Source organism: Homo sapiens, chromosome 4 (assembly GCF_000001405.40).
Source record: "Homo sapiens chromosome 4, GRCh38.p14 Primary Assembly".
Taxonomy (NCBI): Eukaryota; Metazoa; Chordata; class Mammalia; order Primates; family Hominidae; genus Homo; species Homo sapiens.
Window position 1 is genome coordinate 89,768,726 of NC_000004.12, and position 24,469 is coordinate 89,793,194.

Consider the following 24,469-nt stretch of genomic DNA (forward strand, 5'->3'; position numbering starts at 1 on the left):
AATCTAATGCCACCACTGAGCTGACAGGAGGAGGAGCTCAGCTCTTGCTGTGCAGCCTGGTATCGAACAGCCTAACAGGCTATGGACCAGTACTGGTCATGGCCCTGGGGTTGGGGACCCCTGATTGAAAGTATATGAGAGGATGTGCATAGGTTATATACAAATACTAAGCCATTTTATAACAGGGGCTTAGGCATCTGCAGATTTTAGTACCCAAGGGAGGTCCTGAAACCAATCCCCTATGGCTACTGAAGGACAACTGTGTATCATTCTTAACAGAAAAAAACAAAATCTGTTTTGTAAATAAAATTTTTTCATTATTATTTCCATTTCACTCTGGAATTTAGTTAGAAATTAAGATTAACAAAATATTAATTGACTACTAAAATGTACCAGCACTAGCAGCACATACCAAAAACTAATACAAATATTCCAATAATATTAAATAATGACTGCATTTGTATTTCATCTGAGAGTGGTTTATGGTTCTTCCCCATAAGTGGCTGATTTATTGATGGCCACTTTTTCTTAACTCCTGGTCTTTCTCACAATCACAGAAAACAGTCCCTTATCACACAAATAAAAAAGTCATCTCACCATTCCTCTGTACCTTTTATCTTAACAGACTTGTGTTTTGAAATATTATTTATACTATTTTTTAATTTTTTGAGACCGGGTCTTTCTCTGTCACCCAGTCTGGAGTGCAGTGCGCGATCTTGGCTCACTGCAGCCCCAGCTTCCGGGTTCAAGCAATTCTCCTGCTTCAGTTTCTTGAGTAGCTGGGATTACCAGCGCCCATCACCACACCCAGCTAATTTCTGTATTTTTAGTAGAGATGGGTTTCACCATGTTGGCTAGGCTTGTCTCTATCCCCTGTCCTCAAGTGATCCCTGCAACTTGACCTCCAAAAGTGCTGGGATTATAGGCATGAGCCACCATGCCTGGCCTTATTTATATTATATTAACTCTAATAATCACTATGCCACTTTCTGTTGTAATTCTTTAGGCACTTCTTCTTTGTATGTTTTTAATTAGCATGTAGTTATATAGTTATATATTTACGTTTAGATATACCTCCAAGTAGCCAATATTCTACATGAAGTGATAAAGGATTTATTTATCCCTGAAATTATGAAAAGTCTGCCTTGTTTTTTCTTTCTTGCATTGTGCTACAGTACACACATACACGGACACACGAATGCACACACATGCACACTGGGTTCTGCTAATTATCATTTCCTTAGTTCCATATCATTCCCCAACCCCTAAGCCACCTGTGTCCATACCAGTCTTCCCACTGCCTACCAGCCCCATGTCAGATGACCTCCATCAGTAGTATCTCCATTTATGGTGTCTCGCCTTTCTGACACATAGTAACAAGTGAGGTGTTAAGACTAACAAGAGAAAGAAGGCATTATTCTTATCTGGCTAGAAAGAAAACAATCAGCAACTTGTCTTTTATTTAAGGGAAGAAGGCTTCACTCTACTATATTTTCAAGATATTCCAAAACTGCAACAGACCCTTTCAATTATTTTACTTTCATCTATTACCAAAAAGGCCAACTTTTAGATTGAGGCAATGAAAACTCAGAAACTTTTTTGGAATGACCTTCAGATTTGAGATGACCACTGTTTCAACAATATTTCAGTTATAATTCTTTCTCTATATTCATTTAGGGAAATTTGATTCTGAAAAATACAAATAGCTTCCTTTCTCCTGAGCTAGGACTGTATTTAGAAGGGAATAAATTGTAGATTTTATTAAAATTTGATCACATTTTCTTTTTTTGTGCTACGACACAGTAGCAATGTAGATTGAAGGCTTTTACATGTATTTTTAAAATTGCCATAGAGAATTATTTGTATTAATCATAGATTTCCAAGGCTGCAAAAGCTAAATAGTAAAGCATATAATAATGGTAGCGTTAATTTGAAAAAAAATTCCAGCTAGCAAAACATGAGTCTAGATGTAGATATCATGTTCAAAAATCACAAAGCAGATTGCCAGCAAAAAATTGAACCAAGTTTTTCCCCTTCAGAAAACTAGCTTTATTTAAAAAAATTTCCTAATATTTAAATTGATTCACACGTTTATAACTATACAAGGGTTTCCTTGTTTCATCAAAGAAATAAGTATGAATGAGCAGAATGTTTTAGTATAAAAGTTTACAAAGTTTATTCACACTCGGAACAAAGGAATAAGTAGGAAAAAAAGAGCAACTAAAAACAAATGAATTCTTTTCCCCATCCCTCTCGTTTGTCTCCAATCAGTTAAATCCTTTTAATGATATATCATAAGTAGCTTCATGCTTTAGTTCACATTGACGATATTCTTATATCTACATCATTAATAATCAAAATAGTCTTTCTGTCTTTAGTTTTGCTGTCTCTAAGTCAGAACTCAATACTGTTGCTCTAAAATACAAATGTTAAGATGATTCTTCAGGAGCTTCTCATCACCTGTACTATAATGCTACTAGCATGAGAGCACCCACCTAGCCTTCTTATCTCAAGTCCTGCCCTGCCACTCTGTACATATATCCCCTCTTTAATTCACCCTTAGACAGAGACAGAGAGGGCCACGCATCTTGTCTTTTCCTGAATTAATATGTGGTTTTTGCCCCATGCTTTAGCACATGTGAATCCATTTGTCCAGCATGCCTTTGCTCACCTGTGTACAAGAAGAGCTACATAACAGATCAAAAGGAACATCAAAGGCGCTGGTTCTTAGAGTCTCATGTCCATTCCTCCAATTCTCGCCACTTCTGGATGCACTGTTTCTTATGAGCTTCCTTAAATATGCTGTGCCTTTTTGCTTTCTGCGTATGGGCATCTCCAGTGCCAAAGTAAGAGGAGATTTCTGCAGAATTTCAGGAAGTTAATATCCTAGTGGCAGCTCTCAGACAATGGGAGACAGGAGCTAATGGCTGTTTCTTCGTTTTGTCCTTCAGGCTGATAATCCAGAAAACCAATCTGCACAATGCTTGAGAAGGTGCAGAGAATTAGAGCCCTCATTGCCCTCAATGCAGTACCTTTATATTGGCTTTTTCTCCTTATTCATCACATGCTCCTGTTTCCCGAGATTGCCACCCACATATACTACTTGCACCCTACACTATATTTCAGGCTCTTCCTTCAGGATAATGAAACCAAGCTAAAGGCAAAATCCAACTTTTGTTTAACTCATCCTGCTTCTGAGCTCCCAAGATCCCTGAACCTACTTCTCTTATATAATTTATTATAGAAAGTTATTTAAGCATGAGATTTCTCTAGTTTATCTTTGAATCTCCACTGTCAATATAGTCTCTGGCCAATGAAAGCTGTTCAGTTAATGTGTGGTGATTCAATACATGCACTCCTAATTCTCATTTATGAACATTTTGTTAAATCGTGGCCTATAGGAAATAGGCATGTAAAATGCACCTGTAAGTTTTATAGCACCTAGTACAGAGTGACAGCTCAAAACTATTTGCAGAATGAAAGAAAAAAGGAAGTTGACTCTCCAAAACAATACACATGGCCAAAGCCTGGAAAAAAGTAATAGTGTCCCAGTGTAACTTCTAGGAGGTGTGAGGAAGAAAGAAAAACAAAATTGGCACCTTTTCCCAGGCTTTAGACTGAGAGATATTAACTTGGAGAGGGGAAAGCATAGTCTAAAGAGAAACAGGGCTAAGGAAGGTATCACTTTCTTTTACTATCTCTCAGACAGATTGCAATGCAATCTCAAGGCAGCACTACACTGGACAAGGTACTAGGACTCTGACCATTCTTGTTTTTATTCTTTTTTTTTTTTTTGAGACAGAGTCTCACTATGTCACCCAGGCTGGAGCACAGTGGCACTATCTTGGCTCACTGCAACCTCTGCCTCCCGGGTTCAAGTGATTCTCCTGCCTCAGCCTCCCAAGTAGCTGGGAATACAGGTGCCTGTCACCACACCTGGCTATTTTTTTTTTTGTATTTTTTTTGTAATTTTTTTTTGTATTTTTAGTAGAGACAGGGTTTCACTATGTTGGCCTGGCTGGTCTTGAACTCCTAACCTTGTGATCCACCCGCCTTGGCCTCCCACAAAGTGCTGGGATTACAGGCATGAGCCACCGGGCCCGGCCCATATTTTTATTCTTAAAGAACCAGAACTATATGCATCTAGTGTTCCCCAAGTTTTCTTCTTTGTCTTTTAACATTCCAGGAAAACAGATATTGAGTGTTTTGCTGGATCATGCATAGTTCCATATCCTTTTGACCCTCTGTTTGCTGTAGCCAGCTTTGATTCTTTGGATTCATGGTCACCCTATAACATATTCACTAATCCACCAATGAAAGGTTATGTAATGTATAACAATCAACTCAGGGTTTTCTAATGACAATCTTTATCAATGTTCTATAAGCTTGAAAATTAATTTAATAATTTATACCATTGTGCATAAAATATAATAAAAACTTTAATTTAATAACGAAATTCATGCATACTTTTACAAACTTATCAGTCATTCAGAAGTAAATGTGGACTTCAGTTTTGTGGGCAGGGGTTTACAGAAGTATGTTTTACTAAAGTTTGGAGAAAAGATCAGTATAAAAATATGAAATTATACCAATAGCATTATTAGAAATAGTTAAAAGACAAAGTTTAAGTATTTTCATAATCATATCACTTTTTAAGTGACTAAACTACTAAAGAAACATTTAGTTAACTCTAAAATATTGTTGTAAAATTTCTATGTGTTTTGAGGAAAAATACTTTTATTCCATCATAAAATTTTCAACTTAGAGAAACAATTTGTTTACTTGAAAAATTATAATATTTTCAAGTAAAAATGGTTATACTGACAATTTATTAAAACATAAATAAAAGTTCTTCCCACACTTTGACACATGATTAGAAAAAAAAAGGCAGTAAGATTTTCATACAGAATTCTGGGGTTAAGTAGAATTCACTTGTGTTTGCTGGTCTAAGATGCAATGGAATTTGGAGGCAATGGGGCTGGATTCTATCAAATCAGACACACGGAAGAGGTTATAACGTGAGAATTTATATTTTTTCATTTTCTCAGCCCACACTTGAAATAACAATTTGCAAGAGTTTTGCTTTGCTCAATATTAGGCCTGATTAGCTAAAATGCTCAAATTTCCATTCAATCCTTAAAAACAGATCCACACTTAGTCATTCTTCACACCTCTCTCCCTCGCCCTTTCACACCCAAATTGTTAACTTTTTTCTCTATTCTCACATTTATAGTCTGGTTCAGACTTCCGTGATCTGTCACTTGCTCTTGTGGTTAAATTTCTGAAGTGAAATTCCTATCTCTAATCTCTTCTCCTATGTATGTCATCAGACTTGCAATTTTTTCTAAACCCAAAATGTGTTTTCACTAGTCCCCTGTTAAAAAACTGTCAACACATCCACATTGCCCACTGGCTATAGAGTTCAATTCAAACTAGAGTCATTCACTACTTGGACAACCAGCTTCCCAGCTCCACCTCTGGGTATTCTTTCTCTTGCCTTCAGAATGGTGTTGAGGATATAAGGTGAATGCAACAGCCATTGCTCTCAGTGAGCTCATAGTCTAAGTGAGGAGACAGATGAGCAGATCATTATAAAACAAATTGGCAAGTGCAATGACAGAAGTGTGCATAGGTGCTATGGGAACCAAGAGGAAGGATATATAATAAGCCAGGGAAGGAAGAGAAGATTCAGGGAGACTTACTGGAGGATGAATTGCCCTCAGAAAGTATTGAAGTGTAGGTAACAGTTGGTTAAGAGAAGCAGAAAGAAGGAAAAGGAGACAGCAGCACAGGGTGCCAAAATAAGAAAAGCCTGGGTAATACTGCCAAGAGAAATCTACAATTAAATGCAATTCCCATCAAAATACCACCATCATTCTTCACAGAACTAGAAAAAACAATCCTAAAATTCATATGGAACCAAAAAAGAGCCCACATAGCCAAAGCAAGATTAAGCAAAAAGAAAAATCTGGAGGCATCACATTACCTGCTTTCAAACTATACTATAAGGCCATAGTCACCAAAACAGCATGGCACTGGTATAAAAATAGGCACACAGACCAATAAAACAGAATAGAGAACCTAGAAATAAACCCAAATGCTAACAGCCAAGTGATCTTTGACAAAGCAAATAAAAACATAAAGTGGGGAAAGGACATTTGATGTATTGTATGGGTTACATAAGATCGATTAAGTGGAGATGGAAATTTTACAACTTTTTGTTGTATATTGTAAACTATTTTTAAATATTAGTGGCAAAAAGACTAATATGGATAAATATTCCCAACAATTTGATATTTGATGTCCCAAACTATTGTGAGATTGGTTATAATAAAAAATAGCAAACTACCCTGCTGATTTCCCATGAAGCTTAACCCTCTCTCACATTTCAGAACCAGCCTGACTTAAGCCTCTACATACTTAAACAGCTTCAAATGCCTATCTGAGACAGCTTTGTAATGGGTCTCTGCCCCTGTTTCTCTGTCCACAAGAGGTACTAATTCACTTCTCTTCAGTTGTTAGACCTAGGACACAATAGACACCAAGTTACATTTCTGTTAGGTGCATCTTGGAAGTGCCTGAGAACTGACCACTGGGCACCTACCTTTTTACCTAAGTCTCTGTTAATGTTGGTCTGTTTACCTGTTAGTAGTGGAGCCTGGTGCATAGAATTATCTCCTTGCCATCTGTGTCCCACAACACATATATAACCCCCTGCATGGCATATGAGGCCTTTCCTGAGAGGGGTGCTTTTAAGCCAACATTCCAGAGACCTAGTTCCCCTGCCCCAGGTGCCTCAGTTTTTACACCTAGGATGCTATTTTGAATCTTCTCCTCAATGACAAGTATCTGTACTCACTTAGTTTGGGTCCATGCCACATTCCTGAGGCAACTGAAACCCACCTACTCCTTGATGGCCTTCCAGGATGCTTGTCTGTACTATAGTGGACATCCCTTCCTGCCTCACGGATGTCCGTGTGTGTGTGTGTATGTTTGGTTTTTACTGGATTCCTGAGGAAGGCCTTCCACTGAACTTCATTCATGTGCTTTGCTACCTGTTAGAAAATGTAACCTAATGTAAATGTAAACCTCTGGTGCCTCTAGTTTTACTGACTTATGTTATATAAATCTTGGTTCCTGGTTCTTTCTGTTGCCCTGTTATGAGATGTATCACTCTAAGCCAAGCCCAAACACTAAGATAACAAGTGCTAAAGATGACGAATATTCTGAAGAGTTTTCAGGACACACAGAATTGTTTGTGGCCAGCACCTCAGTACCAATAACAGATATTTCATGTTATATAGTGGGGTCATTAAGGACTTATTTGAGGGAATAATCAAGAAAAACTTCCTAGTCTTGCTAGAGATCTAGATATCCAAATATAAGAAGCACAAAGAACACCTGGGAAATTCAATGCAAAAAGATTACCACCTGGGCACACAGCCATCAGGTTGTCTAAAGTCAAGATGAAGGAAAGAATCTTAAGAGCTGTGAGGCAAAAGCATCAGGTATCCTATAAAAGAAAACATAGCAGATTAATAGCAGATTTCTCAGCATAAACCCTGCTAGCCAGAAGAGATTGGGCCCTATATTTAGCCTCTTAAACAAAATAATTATCAGCCAAGAATTTTGTATCCAGTGAAACTAAGCTTCATAAATGAAAGAGAGATAAAGTCTTTTTCAGACAAACAAATGCTGAATTTGCCACTACCAAGCCAGCACTGAGAAATGCTAAAAGGAGCTCTAAATCTTGAAACAGTAACTTGAATACATCAAAATAGAACCTCCTTAAAGCATAAATTTAACAGGACCCATAAAATAATAACACAATTAACAACAGCAACAACAAGAAGGTATTGAGGCAACAACTATCATGATGAATAGAACAGTACCTCATACCTCAATACTAATGTTGAATGTAAATGGCCTAAATGCTCCACTTAAAAGATACAGAATGGCAGAATGGATAAAAATCCATCAACCAAGTATCTGCTGTCTTCAAGAGACTCACCTAACACGTAAGGACTCACATAAACTTAAGGTAAAGGGGTGGAAAAAGATATTCCATGCAAATGGAAACTCAAAGTGAGAAAGAATAGCAATTCTTATATCAGACAAAAAAGATTTTAAAGCAACAACAATTAAAAAAGACAAAGAGAGACATTATATAATGATAAAATAATTAGTTCAACAGGAAAAATTTACAATCTTAAGTGTATATGCATCTAACACTTGGGCTCCCAAATTTATAAAGCAATCACTACTAGACCTAAGACATGAGATAGACAGCAACACAATAATAGTGGGGGACTTCAGTACTCCACTGACAGCACTAGACAGGTCATCAAGACAGAAAGTCAACAAAGAAACATGGACTTAAACTATACCCTAGAACAAATGGACTTAACAGATATTTACAAAAAATCCTACCCAACAACTACATCCTTTTCATCAACACATGGAATATTCTCCAAGACAGACCATATGAACAAGTCTCAATAAATTTAAGAAAATCAAAATTATATCAAGTATTCTCTCAGACCACAGTGGAATAAAATTAAAAATTAACTCCAAAAGAAACCCTCAAAACTATACAAATACATGGAAATCGAATAATCTGCTCCTGAATGATCTTTGGGTCAACAATGAAATCAAGAAAGATGAAAATTTTAAAAATATTTGAATTCAACAATAATAATGACAAAACCTATCACAACCTCTGGGATACAGCAAAAGCCATGTTAAGAGCAAAGTTCATAGCATTAAATATCTACATCAAAAAGTCTGAAAGAGCACAAATAGACAATCTGAGCTTACACCTCTAGGAACTGGAAAAACAAGACAAAGCAAACCCAAACCCAGCAGAAGAAAAGAAATAACAAAGATCAGAATAGAAATAAATAAAATTGAGTCTTAGTGTGGTGGCTCACACCTGTAATCGCAGCACTTTGGGAGGCCAAGGCAGGCGGATCACCATAAGTCAGGAGTTTGAGACCTGCCTGGCCAACATGGTGAAACCCCGTCTCTACTAAAAATACAAAAATTAGCCAGGTGTGGTGGCAGGCACCTGTAGTCCCAGCTACTCGGGCAGCTGAGGCAAGAGAATCACTTGAACCTGGAAGGCAGATGTTGCAGTGAGCCAAGATCATACTGTTGCATTCCAGCCTGGGTAACAAGAGTGAGACTCCATCTCAAAAAATAAAAATAAAAATAAATAAATAAATAAATAAAATTGAAACACAAAATACAATACAAAAGATAAATGAAACAAAAACCTGCTTCTTTGAAAAGATAAACAAAATCAATAGACCATTGGCAAGATTAACCAAGAAAACAAGAAAAAAGATCTAAACAAGCTCAATTAGAAATGAAATGGGAGATACTACAACTGATACCACAGAAATAAAAAAGATTATTCAAGACTACTGTGAACACATTTACGTACACAAACTAGAAAACCAAGAAGAGATGGACAAATTCCTGCATATATACAAACCTCCTAGATTAAAACAGGAAGAAATAGAAATTATTAACAGACCAATAATGCATAGTGAGAGTGAAACAATAATAGAAAAAATGTCAGGAAACAAAAAAAGTCTAGGACCAGATGGATTCACAGGTGAATGCTATCAGAAATTCAAAGAAAAATTGGTACAAATTCTATTGAAACTGTTCCAAAAGATAGAGACAGAGGGAATCCTCCCTAAATCATTCTATGAAGCCAGTATTACCCTAATATCAAAACCAGAAAAGGACATAACAAAAAAAGAAAACTACAGACCAATATCCCTGATGAACAGAGATGTAAAAATCCTCAATAAAATACTAGCTAAATGAATCCAGCAGCATATCAAAAAGATAATCCACCATGATCAGGTGGGTTTCATACCGGGGATGCAGGGTTGCTTTAACATATGCAAGTCAATAAATGTGATACACCATATAAGCAGGAGTAAAAACAAAAATCATATGATAAACTCAATAGATGCAGAAAAAGCATTTGACAAAATTCAGTATTGCTTTATGATTAAAACCCTCAGCAAAACTGGCATATAAGATACACACCTTAAGGTAATAAAAGCCACTTATGACAAACCCACAGCCAACATTATATTGAACGGGGGAAAATTTGAAAGCATTTCCCCCGAGAACTGGAATAAGACAAGAATGCCTGCTTTCACCACTTCTATTCAACATAGTACTGGAAATCCTAGCCAGAGCAATCAGACAAGAGAAAGAAATAAAGAGCATCCAAACTGCTAAAGAGGAAGTCAAACTGTTGCTCTTTGCCGATGATATGTTTGTATACCTAGAAAACCTAAAGACTCATCCAAAAAGCTCCTAGATCTGATAAGTTAATTCAGTAAAGTTTCCAGATACAAAATCAATGTACACAAATCAGTACCAGTGCTATACACCAACAGCAACAAAACTGAGAATCAAATTAAGAACTTGAGCCTTTTTACAACAGCTGCAAAAAAAAAAAATGCTTAGGAATATACCTAACCAAAGAGGTGGAAGATCTCTACAGGAAAACTACAAAATATTGCTGAAAGAAATCACAGACAACAGAAACTAATGAAAACACATCCCTTATTCATGGATTGGCAGAATCAATATTGTGAAAATGAGCACACTGCCAAAAACAATCTATAAATTCAATGCGACTCCCATCAAAATGCCACCATCATTCTTCAAAGAACAAGAAAAAAAATCTTAAAATTCACATGGAACAAAACAACAGCCCATACAGCCAAAGCAAGACTAAGCAAAAAATAACAAATCTGGAGGCACTAGATTACCCAACTTCAAACTATACTACAAGACTATAGTTAGGAAAACAGCATGGTACTACTATAAAAATAGACATGTAGATCAATGGAGCAGAATAGAAAATCCAGAAATAAAGCTAAATACTTACAGCCAACTGATCTTCAACAAAGCAAACAAAAACATAAGGTGGGGAAAGGACATCCTATTCAACAAATGGTGTTGGGATAATTGGCAAGCCACATGTAGAAGAATGAAGCTGGATCCTCATCTCTCAACTTATACAAAAATCCACTCAAGATGGATCAAAGACTTAAATCTAAGACCCAAAACCTTAAAAATTATAGAAGATAACATTGGTAAAACTCTTCTAGACACTGGCTTAAGCAAAGAGTTCATGACCAAGAAACCAAAAGCAAATGCAACAACAACAAAAAAGATAAATAGATGGGACCTAAAACTATAAAGCTTCTGCACAGCAAAAGAAATAATCATCAGAGTAAACAGACAACCCACAGAATGGGAGAAATATCTGCAAACTATCCATCTGACAAAGGACTAATATCCAGAATCTACAAGGAACTCAAACAAATCAGTAAGAAAAAACAAATAATCCTATCAAAAAGTGGGCTAAGGACATGAATAGACAATTCTCAAAAGAAGATAGACAAACAGCCAACAAACATATGAAAAAATGCTCAACATCTTTAATGACCAGGGAAATGCAAATCAAAACCACAATGTGATACCACCTTACTCCTGCAAGAATTGCCATAATTAAAAAATAAAAAAATAAACGTTGGCATGGAAGTGGTAAAAAGGGAACATTTTTTTACACTGCTGGTAGGAATGTAAACTAGTACAACCACCATGGAAAAGTTATGGAGATTCCTTAAAGAACTAAAAGTAGAACAATCATTTGTTCCAGCGATCCCACTCCTAGGTATCTACCCAGAGGAAAAGAAGTCATTATATGAAAAAGACACTTGCACATGCATGTTTATAGCTGCACAATTCACAATTGCAAAAATATGGAACCAGCCTAAATACCCATCAACCAATGAGTGGATAAAGAAAATGTGATATATTTACATATATATATAAAGCATAGGGGGGTGTGTGTGGATGCTATGGAATACTACTCAGCCATAAAAAGGAACAAAATAATGGCATTTGTAGCTACGTAGATAGAGTTGGAGACCATTATTCTAAGTGAAGTAACTCAGGAGTGGAAAACCAAACATTACATGTTCTCATTTATAACTGCCACCTAAACTAAAGGATGCAAAGGCATAAGAATGATATAATGGACTCTGGAGACTTGAGGGGAAGGGTGGGAGGAAGGTGAGGAATGAAAGACTACACATTGGGTGCAGTGTATGCTGCTCAGGTTATGAGTGTACCAAAATCTCAGAAATCATACCTAAACAACTTCTCCATATAACCAAAAACCACCTGCTCCCCAAAAGCTATTGAAATAATAATAATAAAGTTAATCAGAAAATTATTGTCTATAACACCAATATATTATTTTTATTAATGCATTTCTTTTAATGTATTGTTATTTGTCATTAATTAAATTAGTAGTTACACTATTAAGCGATCTGTTGTTATAATTAATTAATTAACCTCCCTTTATCAATTAAATTATAAAGCCCTGAAGGCAACTGAGTAGAGGCCCAATAAGTGATTGCTGAATTGAAATGCTGAACTGAATTATACTTCATTATATAGAAAGCCTCATATATAGGGCCTCACATATACCCTTACACAAAATATAAGAATCCACTACAAATCACTTCATCGATTAATCAACTGGCTGTACTTTGTAACAAGGTTTGCACAAATAAAATATCTTTCAGGAAAAGTGTAAAATATATTTCATTAATCTGTGAAAATGCAACTGGAAGTTTTGTGGCTTCCTAGTTTGAACTCCGCCCAAGAAGGCAAAACCTTTATAGACCCATAGTTTCCCGTCTAGGTACTGCTCTTTCACACATCTCTAAGTCTGACTAGACACATTGTAACATAAGCTGTGGTCACATGACAGGTAGGTGTCTCAGTAACAGGCAACACCAGTCATGGAAAAACAAAACTAAGTGTCCAAATGAGTGCAGAATCCTGATTGCAGCTCACATTTACTCTTAAACAAGAGGCCCTCTTCTTATATTCTCAGGTAAGTGACTCTGTAATAAGAGGATTGTGTAGCATTTACCTAACAGCTTTACTTTAGGACTGTATACTGTCCTTAGATATTTTTAAAACTTTTTATATTTCATTTCTAAATAAGAATATTACAAAAAATTTCCTAACATTTATATAACATAATTCTCAAAGTAGATAGAGCCAAATAACTGACTTCTGCTAGTTTTTTTTCCAGATATTTGTCTTTTATGTACATGGCCAGAAACCACTTAGAACTTGCATAAAAACAAGTTAAGAAGCAAAATGTCAGTTAGTTCCTTTCTCTATCCCAGAGCGCACTGTTTCATTAGGAATTTTTCAATAAAAATAATAATGTAGAAGGTGTGATTTTTACAGTTTTCATGTCTTGATATATAGTGAAATTGAGCAATGTGAGAATAAATGTGATCTAGAAAAGAAAAATATCTTTCGATTTGAGAACAGATGGTTAATAATAATCATGACAGTGATTCAAGGTTAATGACCTACATGCTAAACTTGTTTTAATTTTTAAAAGCCATTACTAACTGAAAACTCCCTGCTTTAGCTGAACCAACACTTAACAAGTGTTTTTTAAAGATGTCTTGATACCTTCAGAGAAGTTCTCCTGCTGCTAGTTTTCTCTGGAGCAACAGTGGGAAACCCCAGGTGGTTACTCCTTTGTGAATATAAGCATCCACATGAAATTGGTTGTTTCCGCATGCACGGGCAAACATGTTTTGTTATACTAATGTCTGAAGTACAAATTGTTGTAGAATCATTTTATTCCATAGACTTCCAAGTCTAATTCTAATACTAACTTCCATCAATAGTTAAATTATTATTTATCTTCTATCCAAAGGCTACCTGAAGGTCCTATCACTTTGGTGTGAGAAGAATCGGGTAAGACAAAAAGTTAGGCTTGCACCAGTTATCAATAGAATATTAAGAAAGATTTTTAAGAAGGAGAATAGCAGTTCCAGGTTCCACATATTTGATACTTTTCACCAGAAAATAGGAAAGACGGATTGGGTCTGCAATGTATTTTCAAAGTCAAACTTCTATTCCTCTATTTAATGTATTTTTACAGAGATGACTTGAGAAAACACACATTTCTTTTGAATCTTGATGTATATATTTTTGACGGATCAGACACTCTTACTTGAGCTAGGTGATCTCACATCATTATCTGTTGCTATGTGCTATTGTTTCTGTAGCCAAATGAATGGGCCATTGGCAATCAAGCCAAACAAATTTTGCTTTTACACCCGATTTTAGCATTAATCTACAGACACGGCTTTTCAATAGTAGAAAAGATATCTCCCATTTTAGTCCAAATTTAAGTATAGTTAAAGCTACATTTTGGGAAAAATGTTTTATCATTTTTTTGTTCACTTGTGGGATGAAAAGTAGGATTAAACAGTCCATTATCTCTACCTTCTCTAACTGCCTTTACTAAAATTTTAAAATATTTCTTTTGAAGAAACAAAACATAATATTTGCCATTAAATCTTAAAAGTATGACAACTAAATGGATGCTAAGACAATTGTGTTTCAACTGTGGGCTTATAAACTCTATTGAGAAACTCATTTATGATCATGAGTTTTTTCCAGGATGGACATATAAAGATGGATTTTTAAAACACTGGCCTGGAGAATAGGGAGAGAAGAGGTAATAAAAAAGTATTTATATTACTTATATGAGACATATCTTTTTATAATATCTATATTTAAAACATTTTAAAGTATAAATATTTCTGTACTATAATACAATATACAGTATTATAGTTTATGGTCTGTGATTTACGGTAATTACTGTGGGTCATTTTTTCTGAATTAATTTTATAAGTGAACAAGCAAAGTGACCAAGAGAATGATCTATGATCCAGAAATAACTTTCAATGATAAAAAACCTGAAGTACAACAAAGAAGTCAGAGGCAGGGCTAGACAAAATGGAACTAAATATACTAAGAAGGTGCAGAAAAAGAAGAGAAGAGTATGTTGTGGCTTAACCCCATATTTCCCCATGGCAGAAGGACAGAAACTAAATCTGAGGGCAACTCAACAGTAGTCAATAATTATCAGCCAAATCAATGGATGAATAGGTGGATGGATGAATGCATGGATGAATGTTTGTGCCTGGGAACCCTTCTGTCATCATGCATAAGCAGCCTGAGTCTTAGATAATACTATATGACATGCTTTCTTCATGTGAATAAACAGACCTAAAGACAGGCACTAGGAGACCCTGGGACCACAAAGCTCAGATTGTTATAATAAAAGGAGGGAAACAAAGCTCCCTGTTGAAGAAAATTTTTGCACACTTGATATACAATATTTCTACTAATGAACAGAGAAAGCTTGACTTGAAAGGACACATTTATATTAGATGTCATCCCTATCTAGAGGCCATTACTATCAAGCATCTGTCAGGTAAAGGAGATGAGATGCCTGTAATTTTTTCTTTAAATATTGTTTTTTCTAAGTTGTGTTGGAAATGGGGAGTTGCAAGTTTGTATTTCCATTGCTTAAAAATAGAAAACAGATGAAGAAAGGAGATATCATCAGCAGAACATAGAAGATTTCATAATACGGAGGCTAAAACTCTTAAGAAAAAGCAATATTTATTCTAGTGCCCAACCTACCATGAGAAAGTTGTGCGACTTTGGGCAAGTTATTTAATTCCTCTGGGTCTGAAGATGAGTCTGCACACAAGAGCCTATAATGATCCCTTCCAACACCGGGACTGGCGGGTCTGCAGCCACAGTTACATCTGGAAACTCCACTGGTGCTTTTGGAGCTTCCCAAGAGTATCAGGAATTCAATATGCAGTCATAAAAAATTTTGGGTCATGTTCTCTAAGTACAACACTGCCATGTGTGTGAAGAGATATCTTTATTAAAATTTTTCTTAAGTTGTTCCTTCCTAAAGTAGTGAAAGCTGAGCAGATCTTAGAAATTCATTTAGAATTCATATTACTCAATTACACTTGACTATAACACTTAAGAATCTAGTTATTTTCCTTTTGTAGTAAAAATATATTTTATTTGAAATATGTGAATGGTTACTTAGTCATTTTAATCTACATGAAAAATTTAACCTTAAAGTAACTCTATTTTAAAAATATGAAATGAGACTATCAATCGGTACTTATGAAGCAATGTTTATTCTTCTAATATAGTGTGGGAAGAGAAATGTAAAAGTCTTGCAACACAAAAGGGATTGTTCTCACAAATCATAGGTTTGTGAGATGGGGTGGCAAAATCTCATTGTTTTTAAAGAACCAAGCTGTTCTTCATGAGCAAGAACACTGAATTCCCTGGTTTTCTTTTTCTAGTCACTATACCCCTGGCATCATAACACTACTGTCAATCAACTGCATCCAGAAGGTAGAATAAAATGCCAAGTGATACTTTCGGCAGAATTCCAGAGATTCTCAGATGGTTTTTTCTTTTCCCTCTTAAAAACTGTACCATATGAGTTAGGTTTATTTTGAAATGTCCATGAAAAAGAAGTCAGATATTTCTTAAAATTGGCCCCTCTTAGATATTTCTGGGGAAGCTTCATATAATTCCATTTGTTCATGTTATTCCTTTTCATCATAAATCAGTCCTCTATAAAGAGCTTCAAATTTTCACTGCCTGATGCTACTGTAAAAATATACCTAATATGTTTGATCGAAAGACAGTAGTCAATATATTTATTAGGAGAAATACTTTATTCACTAATCTTAAGAAATACTAGAGGAAATCCAGTACAATCTGAAGTTAAAACTAATGATTATTAAATGAATGTTACCATTTTATTAAAAATTAATAATAGTAATAAAAAACTACAAAGTACTTTCACATTTCCATTTGACTCTCACAATAACTCTGCTTTTACACATAAGCATATATACTTACTTACCTGTATACATGTACACATATTATGTATAATAACCCTCTTACTATATGTAAGATTCAGAGAGGGTAAATAACATGAATAAGACCACAGGACTCTTAAATTATGTGCTAGTGATTATAATTCCTACATTATTTCTATAGGATCAGCTGGCTTCACTGATATCAAAAGATTATATATAGTTATATAATTTTATAAAGTTCTGCTAACTTAGTGACTTTATATGCATTTTTCAGGAAACTTGCAAAAACAAGAAGGTGAATAAACTTCGAAATGAGAAGAGTTCACTAAGCATAATGCATTTATTTTGCATCAGGATTTTTCAACGTTTTAATTTTTAATTAAAAAATTAAACATTTTTAATAGCCGACATACATCTCCAAAATTTACTTCTCCAATCTTTCCAAAAGAATTGATGAAAATGTAAACCAAGATTTAGATGTAAGGATGATCATTATAACATTATAAGAAGCAAAAATTACAGAAAAACATTGTATTCAAAAACAGGTGTTGATGAAGGTATTTACTTTATTCACAAGTAAACTGAAACCAGAGAGATCACATGATTTGGTCACAGGCACAGCAACAGGTAGGAGCAGATCTGGGATCCAAATCCATGTTAGCTATCTCCAGACATAGATCTCTCTCCACCAAAACACACTTCAGACCACACTCCAACTATGGGACCAATGGTTTGCCCCATTGTTTATTGCCTATGGTAATGGGTTTATGTATAATCGTGACTAAAATCATTATCCTTTTAAATTGAAAGAAAGATGGGATGGGTGGGTAAATAGATTACAGCAGAACCAAGCAGTAGATTGCTATTTTGCCACACATACCAAATATTAGATAATGAACTTCATATTAAATATCTTCTCTAGGTCTTTATCTTCATCATAGCTCACAATGTTGTATGATGCTCTGGCAGAAACTAAAAACTATGCTTGTAGAATGTCTCATTTATATGACAACAGAACGACTGAGTGAAATGGAGCTTAATATTAAGTCTGTTAAGAGGTTAGGGACAAGCCAAAGACAGAGTGAGACTCTGTCTCAAAAAAAAAAAAAAAAAAGTAACTCAGAGATAAATAAAAGTAAGTTCTGAGCTGACATCCATAAATGCTTTGTGGCATTAGATGCTGCTAAGAGTGAATTATTTCCATGAAGCCAAGATCAAGCTGTTGCACAAGCTGTACATTAATTACTTGAAAAAAATTCCCAGTAGGGCAATGTCTAAATATATTTCCATGAGAATAGTATATATATTTGTTATAAAGGTGATGATCTAGCCAAGAGGGTGTCTGACCTCCAAAATATATCCACTAATAAAAAAAATCCAAGGAGCATTTGGATAACAGTGGTTAAAAAAAATTGCAAAACAGATGGACTTCACATTTTGGGCATGACTACACACGTGGCCAGATCAATCCCAGTGATTCTTCCATGCAAATATGTTAGTGTGATTAGTTGATTGTAGGAAATGTGGCATTTGCATTACTAATATGTTTTGTTCTTGTCATGGTTGTAAAAACAGTCTTTACTTAGCAAGTATAAATGTTAGCAAGTATAAATATGTTTAAACATAAAAAATAAGACTAAACAAGAATAAAAACTGTTTTTAACTATAATTATCAAGTCTACAACCCAAAAGTCTTTTTCCCATCCTTGACACAATAACATTCAAACATGATTTTTAATGATCTCGTAGTACATTTATTGCTAAATTGTACTCAAAATAATGTTTCATTTTACTTAAGTGGCACAAGCCCCCTGTAGGTATGATTACATTCCGCATACTAATTCTTCTTGAGCTCACTGACAGAAGTGACTATGTCTTCTTATAAAATTTCTATACTCCCATGATCTAGCTTAGTTTCAACCAAATAAACGGCATTCAGTTTATATTTGCTGAAGGGAAGATAATCTCCTTCTAGTTAGCATCTATCCACACACAGTGCTTAATAACAGATTGTATCAGAGTTTGCTAGTTGTCCACCAAAATCTGTTCTCCCTTCTTTGTCAGGGCATATGGCTATATACTACAATTTTCTGTCTACCTTGAATAAATTGTGGCTGGTATCCAAAGGAATGAGAAAGGAAATAATGTATGCTACTTCGAAGTGGGTATGGATGCATCCCCTCAGAAGACGGTGGGGCTGCAACTTGGGAGGAGTCTGGGTTCCTCAATCTCCCTAAGGGAGAAACTCACCCACCTGCCAAAAACACCTACCATGGACTTATGTGAATGAGAATCAACCTCTACTGTGTTTGAGCATTTTAATTGACATTCATTTAACACTATTTAATATACAGATGTTCAGTAGATGTTCACTAAATGAATTAAGTTTTTGTAGTTTGATTTTCTGAAGAATTTGAAACAGATCAAATGTATAGAGAAGTTTCAAGAACAGTCAAAGAGTCCCTCTATCCACTTCACCCAGAATTCCTAATTGTTAACATTTTACCTCATTTGCTCCCTCTGCCTAACACATGGATGTATTTGTGCGTGTGTGTGAGAGTGTGTGTGTGTGTGTGTGTGCGTGTGTGTGCGTATCTTTTTCCAGCACAATGGTGCATTAACCCTAAGTACTTCAGTAAGTACCTCTCTAAAGCAAGGATTCTCTTCTACACTAACACTGTAAAACTGTCACAACCAGGAAGTCAACACTGATAGAACACTGCCATCCAAGCCAGAGGATGATTAAATTATTATGTGCTTATTGGGTGCTCAATTGGGTGTTCAGCATGACAAGTATCATAACCACCATAATCATCCTGGCTTTCTCTTTCATCCACCATCTCTGTCTCTCTCTCTTTTCCCTCCTACTTCCTAGGCTGCTGGGCACACTGCCATTGACCTCTGCTTGACATCTCCTTCCTCCCCCTGTCAGCAGCCTTGCTCAGACATCAACCACCAGTGTTTGCATGTCCCCATGGCAAGAACAAGGGGGAAGGGAGTAGGAGGGAAAATTAGTAAGGACAAGGGAAGGTGGATGAATGAATTCATTTTTAATATAATGCTACGTGAAAAGAAATGCCAGAAAGTAACATTCTGAAAATCACTGGTAAAAGCATCCCCAAAGTCTACCTGATATGGACATTTAAATTCATTAAAAATTCTGAGTTTAAGAAAACAGCTAAGAGGTTGAGAAATCAGAGTTGGCTGCCCAACTTACAATTCTCCTTGCTGACCAGCATCTTTTGGCTGCCTCTCAAAATAACAGGATAAGGCACACAAAACTGAATTCTTCACTTGGATTAAATCTGAATCTTCCTTCTCTTATTCCTTTGCTTATAAAATATCTTCCTAGGCTTGAGACAGTCTAGAGACCACCTGAGAACACTGAATGTTCCTTTTGAGTATCCAGTAGCATAACTCACACTGTCAACAAGGCCTTACTTACGTGTGCTGAACATTTTTATATTTTTGTATCCTTTATCACAAACCAAACACTGCTTAGTTATAAAATATATGTGTAAGTCAACATAATTTTTTTTGTCAAAGCAAAGATTTTTCTCCAAAATATAGCTACAGAAGAAAAGGGGCTTATAACAAGTGTATAGTACACATTCAGAAACATTTTGTTTCATGGATGTTTCAGTAAATGCTTCATTTCTATGTAGGAGGTATAAGATTCCTGCTAAAAATACATTCCCTTCCCTGAATATTCACAATAGCTTGCCAAAAATTCTCACAAATGAATAAAGACAGAACTGATTAACTGTATTAAGTGTCCTACTTAATACAATAATAATTCAGGTTTTAAATAATTTCAACATCAGTTCATTATATTAATTAATCTCATAAAAACCTCCCAATTAATGTACTATGTATAAATTTTATCAAGTACTTTGATGAATTAAGAGGAAGGTAAAGGTTTTCATCAATATCTGCAATAATATTATTAAATTGGGCTAAAAGGAACCAAGACAAATGAAGATATATAAGAAAACTAATCATTATTTTAGACTAAAACAGGAAAAGAACATAGTTATCTAGGACACTGTCTCCTTAGTTTTTAATGTTTCTTCCCCAGATGGGTTTGCACATCTTTTGCCTGAAAAAAGAACTTATTTCCACCACACAAGTTACATTAAATACGTCTTTTAGCTCCTAGGGAGCTGAAAGGCAAGTCCAAAATGAACTTTTTTATTCGTTATGTCATGAAACTATAACACTGCATTATTAATACACCTCTAATCAATAAAGCCTAAAAATCCATTCCCAAGAGACCCAGATTTCTCTACCAGTTCTAGTTGTACTAGTTATTCTCAGCGGTAAGTTTTCCTAGTTCTTAATATTAAAATGAGAGGTCCAGAGGCTCTAGGTGGTGGAGGGGTTGCTAGCTAAAAGGAGGGTGTCCTACAGAAAGGGACAGAGTCTCCATGAGCAATGCTGGATGGTACCTGTGGTCCAGTTCTTGGCACATGGTGAGTGCTGCCTAAGTCTTGGTGCCCTAGACCTGCAGCAGCAATCGGCGGGGAAAGGACCATGACTTTGGTGACAAAAGTGATGGCAGAAGAGTGGAAAGAGGTATGAGTGATGACTAAGGACAAAGAAACAAGGGTAGAAGGACAATTCCAGCAGCAGCCTATCCGAATAACAAAATCCTTATCTCAGGAAAACCATCTCTGCTATGAATACATACACACACATATATTCATCAGGTATCAATTTAATTACTGATTGGAACACTGTAAACTTGTTCAAAATAGAGGTTATTATTCAGTATCTTCAGCTGTCCGGATTCACCATTTTATAGCATGCTCTCTGACATTAGTGAGAATGAATTGTACTCTACATATTTAGGTAATGGTTTGGTATACAGCTGCTATTAACGATTTGTGTGCTATGCAATATTTGTGGTCTCCTGTCACCCACCTCAGGAGACACAACTGATGTAAGTGAGACAGCTCAGCATATCCTATGGAAAAATCTCTTATTAAATAAAGGTCAATGATTAAGTAGTATAGTCATTGAATTAATTTGTTTTCCTTAAGAGGAGCTCTCCTCAGGTCAAAATTAAAGTCAGGGATAGATAAGTCTCTCATATGGTTCCCCCAGTGTGAGAGGAGCAAGCTGTTGGTTTCCTTTGGTGGCTTTTTTCTTGTCTCAGAAGAATAAATTAATAAATTCTGCATAGCTGTGATTTTGTGTGACAAAAATGAAGAACCTGTGCCTCTGTTTACAAAGCAATGCAATGGGAATCACCTCCCCTGGTGTCTCTTCCCCATCACCACCACTTTGCCCGCTGAAATGTTCTTAACCCCACCCACCATAAAAGGTGATGATAAATTGTTGCTTCAAACTCATGCTGATTGAAATTTTCCAGCTATTTTTAAATAACCCCCACTACTGGATTTCTTGCTTCTATGTTATATGACAATGCTTCTTTCAGGTGAAAATGTCCTGGAAACAAGTAATTTTTACCTGGCTACCTTTTTTTTTTTTTTTTTTTTTATAAAGAAAGAAGTTTAATTGACTCACCGTTCTGCATAGCTGAGGAGGCCTCAGGAAACTTACAATCATAGCAGAAGGGGAAGGGGAAGCAAGGCACACCTCACATGGCAGGAGAAAGAGAGAGCAAAAGGAAGTGCCATGATTTTAAACCATTAGATCTTATGAGAACTCATTCACTATCATGAGAACAGCATGGAGAAACTACCCCCATGATCCAATCACCTCCCATAAGGTCCCTCCCTCAACACATGGGGGTTACAATTCAAGATGAGATTTGGGTGGGGACACAAAGCCAAACCGTATCACTATGGATGGTAGTATCAGGGTGCACATGCATCTTTTTTTTTTTCTCTCTGATTTTCTTTTTTTATTTAAATTCTTTTTTTTTAAATTATACTTTAAGTTTTAGGGTACATGTGCACATTGTGCAGGTTAGTTACATATGTATACATGTGACCTGGCTACCTTTAAAGATGGATATTGACTCCTCCAAAATGCTTTCACTTGAAAAAAAAAAGAAGAAAAAAACCTCAAAAATGAGAAGGGCTTTCCGACTTGAGGAAAGCAAATCTTTTTAACTTGCACTAGGAACATCACGACATTTTCTTGCCTCTTAGATGGTTTGTATTTTGGATGCTTCTGAAGAGAAACAAAGACATATAGAATTTAAACATTATCTGTGTTTATTTGTAGAATACTTATTTTTTGTATTTTGTTTTTTAAATGAGTATGTCTGATATCTCATACATTTAGAATATTTGTAATAGAATAGCAAATTTCCACCATGGAATCAGTGGAGAGCTATGCAATTTAACAACTGCAAAGAATCTTAGAGATCCTTAGAGTAACACATCCTCTTATTTACAAATGGGGAAACAGGGTATACGAGTAGAAGTGACTTGCCTAATCCATAAGCTAGGGGTACAACAGGGTCATTAGGGCCATCCTGTTCAATTTCTCCCTGATATGATCCTAGCGATGGAGTACCTACCAACTTTCTTTACAATAGCCCAACGTCTAGTATGAGAATCATTCTGTGGACACTCTTCCAAATTGAAACAATCTCCTTGGATTACTCCTGGCACAGCTTATGTATTCTCATAGCCAATCCCCTGGTCATGACTCTGACACTAGTAGATAAAAAGTATCACTCTAATCTCTTGATCTTTTCATCATGCCTTTATTTTTACACATGCAGTACTCAGAGTCTAAACAAACCTTAGCTTGCATTTTCCTCTTAAAAGCCCACCATGGATCTCACAGTTTTGTTGTTGTTGTTGTTGTTGTTGTTGTTGTTGTTGTTGTTGTTGTTGAGACGGGATCTCACTCTGTTGCCAGGCTGGAGTGCAGTGGCACAATCTTGGCTCACTGCAACCTCCGACTCCTTGGTTGTTCAAGTGATTCTCTTGCCTCAGCCTCCCAAATAGCTGAGATTACAGGCACGCGCCACCAGGCCCAGCTAATTTTTGTATTTTTAGTAGAGACAGCGTTTCACCATGTTGGCCAGGATGGTCTCGATCTCCTGACCTCGTGATCCACCCACCTCAGCCTTCCAAAGTGCTGGGATTATAGGCGTGAGCCACCGCGCCCGGCCTCTTGTAGTTTTTAAAATTAAATTTAATCCAATAAAACATTTAGTTTGCCTTTATTTGGAATTTGTTATCTATTGTTATATACTCTATTAATACCTCCTCTTCAGCAAGGAAATTTTCTTACATCTGCTTACACGTACATCATTTGTTAGAGCCCCTAAATATTGGTAATGATGATGATGATATTATAGCATGAATTACTTTACGTTGAACATTGGCCTAAGTGCTTTAAACACATTATTTGCCTAGCATTTACAACATTTTTGTAGGTATTATTTGTCACAATTACATTTTCTTGTTCTATGATATAATTTGTTTTGATATCGTATTAGTTTTCTATTGTTCCCCTACTGAATTACCACAAATTTATTACATTGTGGGATTGTAAGTCTGAAGTCCAATAGGGGTCTCACTAGCCTAAAGTTAAGGTGTCGGCAGGACTGTGTTCTGTTTTGGAGACTCTAGGAGAAAATCTGTCTCCTTGCCTTTTCCAGCTTCTTGATGCCATTCATAGCTTCTTTCATGATCTGGCATCCTATACGTTATACTTATTTTCTGATTATATTTTGCCTAACC

At 35.8% G+C, this 24,469-nt stretch overlaps 1 protein-coding gene across 18 annotated transcripts in view; it reads right to left on the reverse strand.

Moving 5' to 3' along the window:
- Nucleotides 1-24,469, reverse strand: part of SNCA (synuclein alpha) — a 114,206-nt gene that overhangs the window by 44,627 nt on the left and 45,110 nt on the right. For 6 of the 18 annotated variants that reach the window (XM_011532205.3, XM_011532206.2, XM_011532203.2 and 3 more), the window contains exon 5: nt 17,165-22,940. The exons of 11 other annotated variants lie outside the window; for them this stretch is intronic. In XM_011532205.3, coding sequence (XP_011530507.1) covers nt 22,734-22,940 — 207 coding nt within the window. In that variant the 3' untranslated portion in view covers nt 17,165-22,733. Of the gene's footprint in view, nt 1-2,671; nt 3,010-17,164; nt 22,941-24,469 lie in introns of those variants that run through there. One more of the 18 variants, NM_001375290.1, reaches the window with a different exon arrangement.